The 15414-nt window shown below is 38.3% G+C and overlaps 1 long non-coding RNA gene across 1 annotated transcript in view, besides 1 other annotated feature; it reads right to left on the bottom strand.

Annotated features, from left to right (window-relative positions):
• NOVA1-DT (NOVA1 divergent transcript) overlaps nucleotides 1-15414 on the bottom strand; it is a 207821-nt gene that overhangs the window by 116996 nt on the left and 75411 nt on the right. The gene's annotated exons all lie outside the window — the stretch shown is intronic.
• Nucleotides 10550-11295: an enhancer, noted in NCBI's record as "OCT4-NANOG-H3K27ac-H3K4me1 hESC enhancer chr14:27147383-27148128 (GRCh37/hg19 assembly coordinates)". NCBI's record gives its function as "activates a minimal SCP1, AML or CMV promoter by ChIP-STARR-seq in naive H9 embryonic stem cells {active_cell/tissue: H9 hESC(naive)}" and the evidence as "EXISTENCE:reporter gene assay evidence [ECO:0000049][PMID:30033119]".

Below are 15414 nucleotides of genomic sequence, written 5' to 3'. Positions count from 1 at the left end.
TGCACCCATTAACTCATCATTTAGCATTAGGTATATCTCCTAATGCTATCCCTCCCCCCTCCCCCCACCCCACAACAGGCCCCAGAGTGTGATGTTCCCCTTCCTGTGTCCATGTGATCTCATTGTTCAATTCCCACCTGTGAGTGAGAACATGCGGTGTTTGGTTTTTTGTGCTTGCGATAGTTTGCTGAGAATGATGGTTTCCAGCTTCATCCATGTCCCTACAAAGACATGAACTCATCATTTTTTATGGCTGCATAGTATTCCTTGGTGTATATGTGCCACATTTTCTTAATCCAGTCTATCATTGTTGGACATTTGGGTTGGTTCCAAGTCTTTGCTATTGTGAATAGTGCCGCAATAAACATATGTGTGCATGTGTCTTTATAGCAGCATGATTTATAATCCTTTGGGTATATACCCAGTAATGGGATGGCTGGGTCAAATGGTATTTCTAGTTCTAGATCCCTGAGGAATCGCCACACTGACTTCCACAATGGTTGAACTAGTTTACAGTCCCACCAACAGTGTCAAAGTGTTCCTATTTCTCCACATCCTCTCCAGCACCTGTTGTTTCCTGACTTTTTAATGATTGCCATTCTAACTGGTGTGAGATGGTATCTCATTGTGGTTTTGATTTGCATTTCTTTGATGGCCAGTGATGATGAGCATTTTTTCATGTGTTTTTTGGCTGCATAAATGTCTTCTTTTGAGAAGTGTCTGTTCATATTTTTTGCCCACTTTTTGATGGGGTTGTTTTTTTCTTGTAAGTTTGTTTGAGTTCATTGTAGATTCTGAATATTAGCCCTTTGTCAGATGAGTAGGTTGCAAAAATTTTCTCCCATTTTGTAGGTTGCCTGTTCACTCTGATGGTGGTTTCTTTTGCTGTGCAGAAGCTCCTTAGTTTAATTAGATCCCATTTGTCAATTTTGGCTTTTGTTGCCATTGCTTTTGGTGTTTTAGACATGAAGTCCTTGTCCATGCCTATGTCCTGAATGGTATTGCCTGGGTTTTCTTCTAGGGTTTTTATGATTTTAGGTCTAACATGTAAGTCTTTAATCCATCTTAATTTTTGTATAAGGTATACGGAAGGGATCCAGTTTCAGCTTTCTACATATGGCTACCCAGTTTTCCCAGCACCATTTATTAAATAGAGGATCCTTTCCCCATTGCTTGTTTTTCTCAGGTTTGTCAAAGATCAGATAGTTGTAGATATGCAGCATTATTTCTGAGGGCTCTGTTCTGTTCCATTGGTCTATATCTCTGTTTTGGTACCAGTACCATGCTGTTTTGGTTTCTGTAGCCTTGTAGTATAGTTTGAAGTCAGGTAGTGTGATGCCTCCAGCTTTGTTCTTTTGGCTTAGGATAAGAAATAACTAAGATCAGAGCAGAACTGAAGGAAATAGAGACACAAAAAGCCCTTCGAAAAATCAATGAATCCAGGAGCTAGTTTTTTGAAAAGATCAACAAAATTGGTAGACCGCTAGCAAGACTAATAAAGAAGAAAAGAAAGAAGAATCAAATAGATGCAAGAAAAAATGATTTTTTTTTTATAAGTGTGGTAAGTTTCAGCACAGAAAGAGGTAAATAAATCAACAGGAAAAGACCTGAGGCTTCTGGATTCAGAGCTTCTATCTGGTAGGTACCAGCAAAGGCAGATAATTTCTCAGTTATTCTAATCAAATTATATTATTCCCCCACATAATGCCCCTGTTCACACACATACACACCATCACAGCCACTGCCATTGCCTCCACATTGTAAAATGCCACTGGGACATTTCCTGTACAGGGGAAGGTTGTGCAAATGCTCAGAATAGGGCACTATAGGGCTTCGTGTACCTTAAGGTCACTTCAGGAGAATCTTCTGGATAAGCACCAATAACCTAAAATGGCCCTTGGAGTGGCAACAAGTAGTTTTCGAGAGCTTGTTCTTCCTGCCAGTGACTTGAGTCAAGTTTTGGCAACATCTTCCAAAGGCTTAGAAACCTCTAAGAAAAGCTTCACTGGCATTTGCCAGCTTTGCTTACAATGCATCAAACAAGCACCTGGGCATCAATTCACTGTGTTTTGGGGAGATTTATGTTCCTTTCCCCCACTGGGTGGCCATTAAATGTGACTTCATTTTGGCTACAAATTTATTTTCTTCCATGTTCTGGCCCTAAATGAATTATTGACTTTATTAACCTATTATTTAAAACAAACATTTACATTTGTACAACAAAGATATATTTCTAAGACCTAGGATTAAAATTCATGCTCATTGAGAATAAATGCACATATATATTATGCTATGACATAATGACATTACAGGAAAAAAAACTTGAGAAATGACATAATTTATTATTTTTATTTATTTTTATTTTTGAGATGGAGTCTCGCTCTGTCGCCCAGGCTGGAGTGCAGTGGTGAGATCTCGGCTCACTGCAAGCTCCGCCTGCCGGGTTCACGCCATTCTCCTACCTCAGCCTCCCAAGCAGCTGGGACTACAGGCGTGCAGAGAAATGACATAATTTATGTGACAGTTCTGCATACTATCAGATCTGATACTATCAAAAAGGGTGTGGTTTTATTTTTTCAAAAAATGATAAGTTATGTGTCTTTATTTTTACTTCTTTTAATTTTGAAAAAAAAATTAAATTTGCAGAAAGGCTGCAAGAATTGTCCGTTTTGATTCACCTAGAAGCCCTATTGGAGTTTCAGTGACTGCTCCAGTAATGTCCTCTATGAAATGATCCAATACAGGGTCACATGCTGTATCTAGCTGTCATGTGTCTTTAGTCTCTCCTTCAATCCAGGACTGCTGGAGTAAACTGCTTCCCTGAGAATTTGCCTTTCTCATGAGGGTTCCAGCCTCTGTCATGCCACTATCTTTTATATACCTTCTTCCTGTGAATCAAAACTTCACACAGGGTCACTTCCTTATTCAACCCTTGACTCCTATCCCCAGCTACCATCAGCACTCAGACCTGCTTCATGGGTTTCAACTGAATTATTTGCATTATACTGTCTTCTTGTAAAGGGTGTTGAGCTGTGATCTGGCTAGCAGTTAAACTACTGGCAGATTCCCCTTGATCCTGAAGAGTTTGTTTTATGCTTTGTTAAAGAGGGTCCATTGTCACTTAGAGCTTGGTCCTAGGCTCTGGCCCTCATCTTATTTTCTAGTGATTATTTCTAAATATGACCTTTCTGAGTATCAGCTAAATGTCTCAGGTGTGTAAGGCCTTGTCATTCGGCCTGGTCCTGAATACTAAAATCTCCTGCACTGCCTAACCTCTGGTATTTCCCTTTAGCTATCAGCCCTGGAGCAGGTGCTGTCAGCTAGGCCTCACAGTCCTGCCCTGTGCAAGACACCATGAACCTGGGGTACACCTTGCATGTTTCCCTTCTTAGAAACATCTACACTGCCTATAGTCCAATCCTAGAAAACAGATGCATCATATATTTTGTCCAGTTTTGTAGTTGTTCACAGTGGGAGTGTAATTTTGCCACATGCTATTCTGTGTTGCCTAAAAGCAGAATCAAGTACATATTTAAAGGTAAAATTAATTTAATGCATGAAAATACAGTCAGATACACTGAACATAAATTAAATTGAAGTACACATGTTTGGAATTTAAAAAAGGGTCTTAGTAAATGAATGTGAAAATGCTTTTAAAAATATTAAGCACATTTGAATGACTGCAGCAATACTTTATTTAGCGCAGCTACATAGTTAGGATTCTTCATCACACTGATCAGCCAGTATGACAGAATTTACTCTCATGCAAATGAATACTTAGCCACTTTATTGCACTTTCTTCCATTTCCATTACACTTTCTAATCTCTTTATTTTGTTTACTACACAAAAGTCCCTTTTAGTGTGATTACATCCTATTATCTGAAGACACTTTCATTATTTTGCAAAGAATAAGCAATCATGGGTACTGCATGGGTTGCATTAAAATGCCAGCTTTACTGAGTGGAGTGAGTAAATTCTCAGGTTGAGGTAAATCATATGCAAGTCCTAGCAAAATCCACCATTAAAACAATTGTAAAGAATGCAGAAACATAAAGTCATCAACCAACAAACCCTAACTAGACATTGATTTGAATAAATGGCATTGTAGATACAATTCTGTAAGTACCATGTGATGTTAACTGAGACAGCACTAATTCATTTAGCACTGCCATTTCTAAGAATGTATTTACACCACTAAGTTCAGCACAACTAAATTATTTTTAATATACATCTTACTCTGGAAAATATCATCTTTAAATTCCGTTAGACTTTTGCTTTAAGTGTTCCAAAGAAAGGTAGAATAAATTATGGAAATTGATAATGACATTAAACGGTTATATACCCTATATACATGCATAATTGGTTCATTTTTAAGCATCAGTTTTATCACATATCATGGTTGAAATGGATTTGCAGGCTTACTATTGGAAGACAGTGCCAAGGATTGGAAGAATAAAGGCTGGAAGATTGCCCTAATTTAGCTAGAGGTGAGATGTGAGGTGTGTTTGCCCTTTTGCATGCATGACCCCTAAGGTTTTCATTAATGCAAGAAGAAACCCCCATCTATGGCTCTGATTATCCACACACTACAGATAACAGAACACATTATGGCAGGAAGCTCATTTTTGTCATGTAGCCACTTAAGACTCTCAATTACTTCTAAGTTTTCAGTAAGATGAAAGATAAAAACCACTGTTCCTTCAGGAGATACAGATCATACTAAATAGTTTTCACTGGAAATTAGTTTAGCACAGAAGTCTGTGTCACTCAGCAGTGTAGAATGTAAGCAACATGCAAAGGACTCTCCTCAGAAACCATGAGGACGTCTCCATGGTTAGGAATTAAATTCAGCAGTAGTTAATGAAAATCCTACAAGGACAGCTTACTCAAATGGGGAATTATTTTTTCCATGTAATCAAAGTACATAAAAAGGAAATCAAGGGGATTCAACTATTCAAGAAAGTGTTTATGGTCTTGGAGTCTCTTCTCCTATCAAAAGATGGCTACCCTACCTCCAAGGGTGTCTATCTTCTGGGCAGGAAAGTTGAAGAATAAAGGGCAAAAGACAAAGGCCAAAGAAGCAAGCAGGCCTGTTCCCTTTAAGTAGCCCTTTCTCCCTTAAACAGCTACTTCTGAGTGTATCTCATTGACCAGAATTGTGTCAAGTCATCACCCCTAATGGCAATGGAAAGGGAGGTTGAAAGATAAAGTACTTAATTACATTGTGTTCTATTATTAAACAATAGGAGAATCATTATTGGATAGGCAACTAGCAATTGCCTGTTCTGTGTCTTTTAGATTTTTTTTTTTTTTGCATTTCATTTTCTATGTTTGATTTAATCTTATTTATCTCTGCAAGATCAATTGAAATGTTTTTATTTTATTAACTCCCTAGCTACTGCAAATTCCAAACTATATATTAGTCTACTTCCTTCCTTAGATGTTAGAAAATAAACGTAAATTGAAAGCTATATGTGACACAAAACTTTACGTTTCAATAGGAGTGACAATGATTAATAATAGTAAAAACGGGAATACTAATTAATAATGACTTAATAATTATTAAAATAATACTATGGGCTTTTGAAACTGTAGACTCTGAAAATTAGATATAAAACCATCTAAGCAATATAAACCTTAGTAGAGGTAGTTCAAAAGTTAATACATACTCATATGGAACAAAGTAAAATCTTAGGCATATGGACTGGAGTAACAGTGAAAGGTGAGCTCAACATTACTATCCCAGGAATTAAACACTCCATGACAAAAAAGATTAATGAGATTGCTCGGAAGAGAACCACATATCTAAGACCTTCTCTAAGTAAGAAGCAACCAGCATTAGCTGGATTCTCTGAGGAACCTCCTCTGTGCTGCACAAAATTTTTTTGGAAAGGATTAATGAAGGTGAAACACATGAGAAATGCTGGTTCCTGAGCACATGGAAACCTATAAGTATCCATTCAAGTTGATCAATAGCTGCAGATCCTATATTATACATCATGGACACTAGGTTATTTGATTACTCCTTTCTCTTACTCCACTGAATAAAAAACACTTTTCTGGTGAAATTTAGATATTCAATAACCAGGCAATTCAAGTTAGCAATAACATGACAGTATGAGATATGATGGCACATGATAACAAAAGCCTATTTTCAAAGAATATAATTTAGCACCATAAAACTATCAATGCTTTTCAGCAAAAGAATTTGTTCAGTATAAAGATTGTTTTGGAATACTTAAAAAAAAATCCAGAAGTAGATATCCTCCTATTAAATATACTACTGGAAGTTCTGGCCAGGGCAATCAGGCCAGAGAAAGAAATAAGGGGCATTTAAACAGGAAGAAGGAAAGTCAAACTCTCCCTGTTTGCAGATGACATGATCCTATATCTAGAAAATCCCATTGTCTCAGTCCCCCAAATCTTCCTAAACTGATAAACTTCAGCAATGTCTAAGGATACCAAATCAATGTGCAAAAACCACTAGCATTCCTATACACCAACAACAGCAAGCCAAGAGCCAAATAATGAATGAATCCCATACATAACTGCCCCCAAAAGAATAAAATACCCAGCAATACAGCTAACTAGGGAGGTGAAAGATCTCTATAAGGCAAACTACAAACCACTGCTCAAAGAGATCACAGATGACACAAACAAATGGAAAAACATTCCATGCTCATGGATAGGAGGAATAAATATTAAAATGGTCCTACAGCCCAAAGCAATTTATAGATTTCATGCTATTCCCATTAAACCACAACTGACATTCTTCACACAACTAGAAAAAACTATTTTAAAATTCTATTTTAAACATCTATGAAACCAAAAAAGAGTCCAAATAGCCAAGGCAATCCTAAGCCAAAAAAAAAAAAAAGCTGGAAGCATCATACTAGTTGACTTCAAAATGTACTACAGGGTGATAGTAACCAAAACAGCATGGTGCTGGTACAAAAACAGACACATAGACCAATGGAACAGAATAGAGAACCCTGAAATAAGACTCCACACCTACAAGTATTTGATCTTGGACAAACCTGACAAAAACAAGCAATGGGGAAAGGATTCCCTATTCAATCAGTGGTGCTGGGATAACTGGCTAGCCATATGAAGATGATTAAAACTGGACCCTTTTTTTACACACTGTATACAAAAATTAACTAAAAATGGATTAAAGACTTAAATGTAAAACCCAAAACTATAAAAACCCTGGAAGACAACCTAGGCAATACCATTCAGAACACAGGCACAGGAAGATTTCATGATGAAGATGCCAAGAGCAATTGGAACAAAAGCAAAAATCCACAAATGGGATCTAATTAAACTAAAGAGCTTCTGCACAGCAAAAGAAACCATTAACAGAGTAAACAGAAAACTTACAGAATGGGAGAAAAATTTTGCAAACTATGCATCCAACAAAGGTCTAATATCAAGCAACTATAAAAAACTTAAATTTACAAGAAAAAAATCAAACGACTCCATAAAAAGTGGGCAAAGGACATGAACAGACACTTTTCAAAAGAAGACATACATGTGGCCAACAAGCATATGAAAAAAAGCTCAACATTACTGATTATTAGAGAAATGCAAATGAAAATCACAATGACAGCAAGATACCATCTCACACCAGTCAGAATGACTACTATTAAGAAGTAAAAAAATAAAATAAAATAAAAAAGATGTTGGCAAGGTTGTGGAGAAAGAGGAATGCTTATACGCTGTTGGTGGGAGTGTAAATTAGTTCAGCCATTGTGGAAGACAGTGTAGCAATTCTCAAAGATCGAAAGACAGAAATACCATTTGACCCAGCAATCCCATTACTGGGTATATATCCAAAGGAACACAAATCATTCTATGATAAAGACACATGCAAGCATATGTTCATTGTAACTCTGTTCACAATAGCAAAGGCATGGAATCAACTTAAATGCCTATAAATGATAGGCTGGATAAAGAAAATGTGGTACATATACACCATGGAATACTATGCAGCCATGAAAAAGACAGATCATGTCTTTTTTAGGGGCATGGATAGAGCTGGAGGCCATTATCCTTAGCAAACTAACAAGAACAGAAAACCAAATACCCCATGTTCTCATTTAATTGAGATCTAAATGATGAGAACACATGGACACATAGAGGGGAACAATGGGCACTGAAGCCTTTTGGAGAGTGGAGGGTGGGAGGAGGGACAAGATCAGGAAAAACAACTAATAGGTACTATGCATAATACCTGGGTAATGAAATAATCTGTACAACAAATCCATGACACAAGTTTACCTATGTAACAAACCTATACTTGTACTCCTGAGCTTAAAAGTATAAAATAAATAATTAAACACATGTTTTTAAAATACTAAAAAAAAGAAAACTATACTTGCCACATTAAAATAACATAAATCTGGACAATCTAAATTCTAAAATGCATACAAATAAATCCAGAGGAATTTCAATGGGATGAATGGCTAACAGATAATAGCCTACTCTGTCTTATGTTTTTAATTTAATTATCAAGAAAGTCTATGGTGTGGTTGATTTATTAACCACATATTAAAAGCTATTTTACATTTATTGATTTTTTTAAAGATAAAAAATATCTGCAGAAGGATGATACCAATGAGAATTAACTTTATTCTGATAGGAAATTCTCAAAAAGCTCAGGATTTTGAAGCACCAAATATATCTGAAAGCTAGCATGAAGGGTGAGGCTGAACAAAAGAGGTTTGGTGGATAATTTGCCTCAGGAGTTTGAAACAAGATCCCCTTCATCTTTCTGAGACTGTTTCTTCCCCACCTAGGAAGATCAGGTTAACCAATTAGAGAGTTTGGACATGAGAGCTATGGACCTAGGTACACCAGGCAAAATTGCAGGCCAACATGTGGCCATACTGAGAACAAGGGAATCTAAAAAATTCTGTATTGGGAGCAAAGAGAGCCTACCCTGTGATCCCAGGCTACTGATAGTAAGACAAACCCCAAGAAAAAGAAGGGAGGATTTGACTCTAAAAAATAATAATAACAACCAATCCAAAAGAAAAGACATATAAATACTAACATTTTTTGTTTCCTCAATGAGAAAGTCTATCAGTCACTCAATCACCCTATATTGCAGCCACTTAATGACAAGCCTCAGCCACACACACAATTTCCAAAAAGATTTTTAGTGTCTCATGCTTAAAACTCTCAGCCTGTATCAAAACATCTCATGTGCCATGTAAATATATACACCTACTATGTACTGACAAAAATTAAAAATAAAATTTTAAAAAGGCAAAAACTGTCAGCTTAGGATCATTACATATTCAAGGAAAGCCTCTAATAGGAAAGACAGACTAAAACCAACAAAAGGCAAAAGAAACTTTAGGAAGAAATAAACTTCAAAAATATTAGCAATTAATGACATTAGATCATACAACATTGAATCAATAAAATAATATCAAGGGGATATGAAAAAGAAAATATAAGAGGTCAAAAAACAAAACAGCTATTAGAAATTAACACTGCCATAGCAAAAAGTTTAAAAATCCAATGGAAGAGATGGAAAATAAAATCAAGCTAATCTCCTGGAAAACTGAACAAAAAGTCAAAGAAATGGAAAATAAGAAATAAATTGTAAGAAAATAAAATCAGTTTAGGAGATTCAACCTCCCTCTCATGAAAGTTCCACAAAGTGAGAAGAGACAAAACAAACAGAAAAGTTTTCAAAGAAGCAATATAAGAAAATAGTTTAGAAATGAATAAGCAATTTCCACATTAGAAAATAAGCTGACTGAAAAGAAGAGATAATGAAAAAAGATACAGCAAGCACAATGCTGTAAAAATTCAAAATAGAACATACATAAGATATCAAAAGCTTACAGAGATTACATAAAAGGATGCAGTTTTCAGAATAAAATTGCTCTCTGCTGCAGGAATATGGAAGACTGAAGACATTGAAAAATGCCTTCAAAATTCTGAGGCAAAACTGCTTTCAACCTAGAATTTGTTATGTAGCCAAAATACTGCATCAAATGAAAAGTCAAAATTAAATCATGTTCACTCTTGTAAGATCTGAAAATACTCACGTACTTACTAATTTTTAAGATAATACGGGGGTGGGGGAGGAGCCAAGATGGCCGAATAGGAACAGCTCCGGTCTACAGCTCCCAGCCTGAGCGACACAGAAGAAGGGTGATTTCTGCATTTCCATCTGAGGTACCGGGTTCATCTATCTAGGGAGTGCCAGACAGTGGGCACAGGTCAGTGGGTGTGTGCACCCTGCGCGAGCCGAAGCAGGGCGAGGCATTGCCTCACTTGGGAAGCGCAAGGGGTCAGGGAGTTCCCTTTCCGAGTCAAAGGAAGGGGTGACCGACGCACCTGGAAAATCGGGTCGCTCCCACCCAAATACTGCGCTTTTCTGACCGGCTTAAAAAACGGCGCACCACAAGATTATATCCCGCACCTGGCTCGGAGGGTCCTACGCCCACGGAGTCTCACTGATTGCTAGCACAGCACGGAGTCTCACTGATTGCTAGCACAGCAGTCTGAGATCAAACTGCAAGGCAGCAGCGAGGCTGGGGGAGGGGCGCCCGCCATTGCCCAGGCTCCCGTAGGTAAACAAAGCAGCCGGGAAGCTCGAACTGGGTGGAGCCCATCACAGCTCAAGGAGGCCTGCCTGCCTCTGTAGGCTCCACCTCTGGGGGCAGGGCACAGACAAACAAAAAGACAGCAGTAACCTCTGCAGACTTAAATGTCCCTGTCTGACAGCTTTGAAGAGAGCAGTGGTTCTCTCAGCACGCAGCTGGAGATCTGAGAACGGGCAGACTGCCTCCTCAAGTGGGTCCCTGACCCCTGACCCCTGAGCAGCCTAACTGGGAGGCACCCCCCAGCAGGGGCACACTGACACCTCACACTGCAGGGTATTCCAACAGACCTGCAGCTGAGGGTCCTGTCTGTTAGAAGGAAAACTAACAAACAGAAAGGACATCCACACCAAAAACCCATCTGTACATCACCATCATCAAAGACCAAAAGTAGATAAAACCACAAAGATGGGGAAAAAACAGAACAGAAAAACTGGAAACTCTAAAAAGCAGAGCGCCTCTCCTCCTCCAAAGGAACGCAGTTCCTCACCAGCAACGGAACAAAGCTGGATGGAGAATGACTTTGACGAGCTGAGAGAAGAAGGCTTCAGACGATCAAATTACTCTGAGCTATGGGAGGACATTCAGACCAAAGGCAAAGAAGTTGAAAACTTTGAAAAAAATTTAGAAGAATGTATAACTAGAATAACCAATACAGAGAAGTGCTTAAAGGAGCTGATGGAGCTGAAAACCAAGGCTCGAGAACTATGTGAAGAATGCAGAAGCCTCAGGAGCCGATGCGATCAACTGGAAGAAAGGGTATCAGCGATGGAAGATGAAATGAATGAAATGAAGCAAGAAGGGAAGTTTAGAGAAAAAAGAATAAAAAGAAATGAGCAAAGCCTCCAAGAAATATGGGACTATGTGAAAAGACCAAATCTACGTCTGATTGGTGTACCTGAAAGTGATGGTGAGAACGGAACCAAGTTGGAAAACACTCTGCAGGATATTATCCAGGAGAACTTCCCCAATCTAGCAAGGCAGGCCAACGTTCAGATTCAGGAAATACAGAGAACACCACAAAGATACTCCTCAAGAAGAGCAACTCCAAGACACATAATTGTCAGATTCACCAAAGTAGAAATGAAGGAAAAAATGTTAAGGGCAGCCAGAGAGAAAGATTGGGTTACCCTCAAAGGGAAGCCCATCAGACTAACAGCGGATCTCTCGGCAGAAACCCTACAAGCCAGAAGAGAGTGGGGGCCAATATTCAACATTCTTAAAGGAAAGAATTTTCAACCCAGAATTTCATATCCAGCCAAACTAAGCTTCATAAGTGAAGGAGAAATAAAATACTTTACAGACAAGCAAATGCTGAGAGATTTTGTCACCACCAGGCCTGCCCTGAAAGAGCTCCTGAAGGAAGCACTAAACATGGAAAGGAACAACCGGTACTAGCAGCTGCAAAGTCATGCCAAAATGTAAAGACCATCGAGACTAGGAAGAAACTGCATCAACTAATGAGCAAAATAACCAGCTAACATCATAATGACAGGGTCAGATTCACACATAACAATATTAACTTTAAATGTAAATGGACTAAATTCTCCAATTAAAAGACACAGACTGGCAAATTGGATAAAGAGTCAAGACCCATCAGTGTGCTGTATTCATGAAACCCATCTCATGTGCAGAGACACACATACGCTCAAAATAAAAGGATGGAGGAAGATCTACCAAGCAAATGGAAAACACAAAAAGGCAGGGGTTGCAATCCTAGTCTCTGGTAAAACAGACTTTAAACCAACAAAGATCAAAAGAGACAAAGAAGGCCAATACATAATGGTAAAGGGATCAATTCAACAACAAGAGCTAACTATCCTAAATATATATGCACCCAATACAGGAGCACCCAGATTCATAAAGCAAGTCCTGAGTGACCTACAAAGAGACTTAGACTCCCACACATTAATAATGGGAGACTTTAACACCCCACTGTCAACATTAGACAGATCAACGAGACAGAAAGTCAACAAGGATACCCAGGAATTGAACTCAGCTCTGCACCAAGCAGACCTAATAGACATCTACAGAACTCTCCACCCCAAATCAACAGAATATACATTTTTTTCAGCACCACACCACACCTATTCGAAAATTGACCACATACTTGGAAGTAAAGCTCTCCTCAGCAAATGCAAAAGAACAGAAATTATAACAAACTATCTCTCAGACCACAGTGCAATCAAACTAGAACTCAGGATTAAGAATCTCACTCAAAACCGCTCAACTACATGGAAACTGAACAACCTGCTCCTGAATGACTACTGGGTACAAAACGAAATGAAGGCAGAAATAAAGATGTTCTTTGAAACCAACGAGAACAAAGACACAACATACCAGAATCTCTGGGACACAATCAAAGCAGTGTGTAGAGGGAAATTTATAGCACTAAATGCCCACAAGAGAAAGCAGGAAAGATCCAAAATTGACACCCTAACATCACAATTAAAGGAACTAGAAAAGCAAGAGCAAACACATTCAAAATCTGGCAGAAGGCAAGAAATAACTAAAATCAGAGCAGAACTGAAGGAAATAGAGACACAAAAAACCCTTCAAAAAATCAATGAATCCAGGAGCTGGTTTTTTGAAAGGATCAACAAAATTGATAGACCGCTAGCAAGACTAATAAAGAAAAAAAGAGAGAAGAATCAGATAGACACAATAAAAAGTGATAAAGGGGATATCACCACTGATCCCACAGAAATACAAACTACCATCAGAGAATACTACAAACACCTCTACGCAAATAAACTAGAAAATCTAGAAGAAATGGATAAATTCCTCGACACATACACTCTCCCAAGACTAAACCAGGAAGAAGTTGAATCTCTGAATAGACCAATAACAGGAGCTGAAATTGTGGCAATAATCAATAGTTTACCAACCAAAAAGAGTCCAGGACCAGATGGATTCACAGCCGAATTCTACCAGAGGTACAAGGAGGAACTGGTACCATTCCTTCTGAAACTATTCCAATCAATAGAAAAAGAGGGAATCCTCCCTAACTCATTTTATGAGGCCAGCATCATTCTGATACCAAAGCCGGGGAGAGACACAGCCAAACAAGAGAATTTTAGACCAATATCCTTGATGAACATTGATGCAGAAATCCTCAATAAAATACTGGCAAAACGAATCCAGCAGCACATCAAAAAGCTTATCCACCATGATCAAGTGGGCTTCATCCCTGGGATGCAAGGCTGGTTCAATATATGCAAATCAATAAATGTAATCCAGCATATAAACAGAGCCAAAGACAAAAACCACATGATTATCTCAATAGATGCAGAAAAAGCCTTTGACAAAATTCAACAACGCTTCATGCTAAAAACTCTCAATAAATTAGGTATTGATGGGACGTATTTCAAAGTAATAAGAGCTATCTATGACAAACCCACAGCCAATATCATACTGAATGGGCAAAAACTGGAAACATTCCCTTTGAAAACTGGCACAAGACAGGGATGCCCTCTCTCACCACTCCTATTCAACATAGTGTTGGAATTTCTGGCCAGGGCAATTAGGCAGGAGAAAGAAATAAAGGGTATTGAATTAGGAAAAGAGGAAGTCAAATTGTCCCTGTTTGCAGACGACATGATTGTATATCTAGAAAACCCCATTGTCTCAGCCCAAAATCTCCTTAAGCTGATAAGCAACTTCAGCAAAGTCTCAGGATACAAAATCAACGTACAAAAATCACAAGCATTCTTATACACCAACAACAGACAAACAGAGAGCCAAATCATGAGTGAACTCCCATTCACAATTGCTTCAAAGAGAATAAAATACTTAGGAATCCAACTTACAGGGGATGTGAAGGACCGCTTCAAGGAGAACTACAAACCACTGCTCAAGGAAGTAAAAGAGGATACAAACAAATGGAAGAACATTCCATGCTCATGGGTAGGAAGAATCAATATCGTGAAAGTGGCCATACTGCCCAAGGTAATTTACAGATTCAATGCCATCCCCATCAAGCTACCAATGCCTTTCTTCACAGAATTGGAAAAAACTACTTTAAAGTTCATATGGAACCAAAAAAGAGCCCACATCGCCAAGTCAATCCTAAGCCAAAAGAACAAAGCTGGAGGCATCACACTACCTGACTTCAAACTATACTACAAGGCTACAGTAACCAAAACAGCATGGTACTGGTACCAAAACAGAGATATAGATCAATGGAACAGAACAGAGCCCTCAGAAATAATGCCGCATATCTACAACTATCTGATCTTTGACAAACCTGAGAAAAACAAGCAATGGGGAAAGGATTCTCTATTTAATAAATGGTGCTGGGAAAACTGGTTAGCCATATGTAGAAAGCTGAAACTGGATCCCTTCCTTACACCTTATACAAAAATCAATTCAAGATGGATTAAAGACTTAAACGTTAGGCCTAAAACCATAAAAACCCTAGAAGAAAACCCAGGCAATACCATTCAGGACATAGGCATGGACAAGGACTTCATGTCTAAAACACCAAAAGCAACGGCAACAAAAGCCAAAATTGACAAATGGGATCTAATTAAACTAAAGAGCTTCTGCACAGCAAAAGAAACTACCATCAGAGTGAACAGGCAACCTACAACATGGGAGAAAATTTTCACAATCTACTCATCTGACAAAGGGCTAGTATCCAGAATCTACAATGAACACAAACAGATTTACAAGAAAAAAAACAAACAACCCCATCAAAAAGTGGGCGAAGGACATGAACAGACACTTCTCAAAAGAAGACATTTATGCAGTCAAAAAACACATGAAAAAATGTTCACCATCACTGGTCAT

Source organism: Homo sapiens, chromosome 14 (genome assembly GCF_000001405.40).
Source record: "Homo sapiens chromosome 14, GRCh38.p14 Primary Assembly".
NCBI lineage: Eukaryota > Metazoa > Chordata > Mammalia > Primates > Hominidae > Homo > Homo sapiens.
This window is presented reverse-complemented; position numbering and strand designations above follow the sequence as displayed.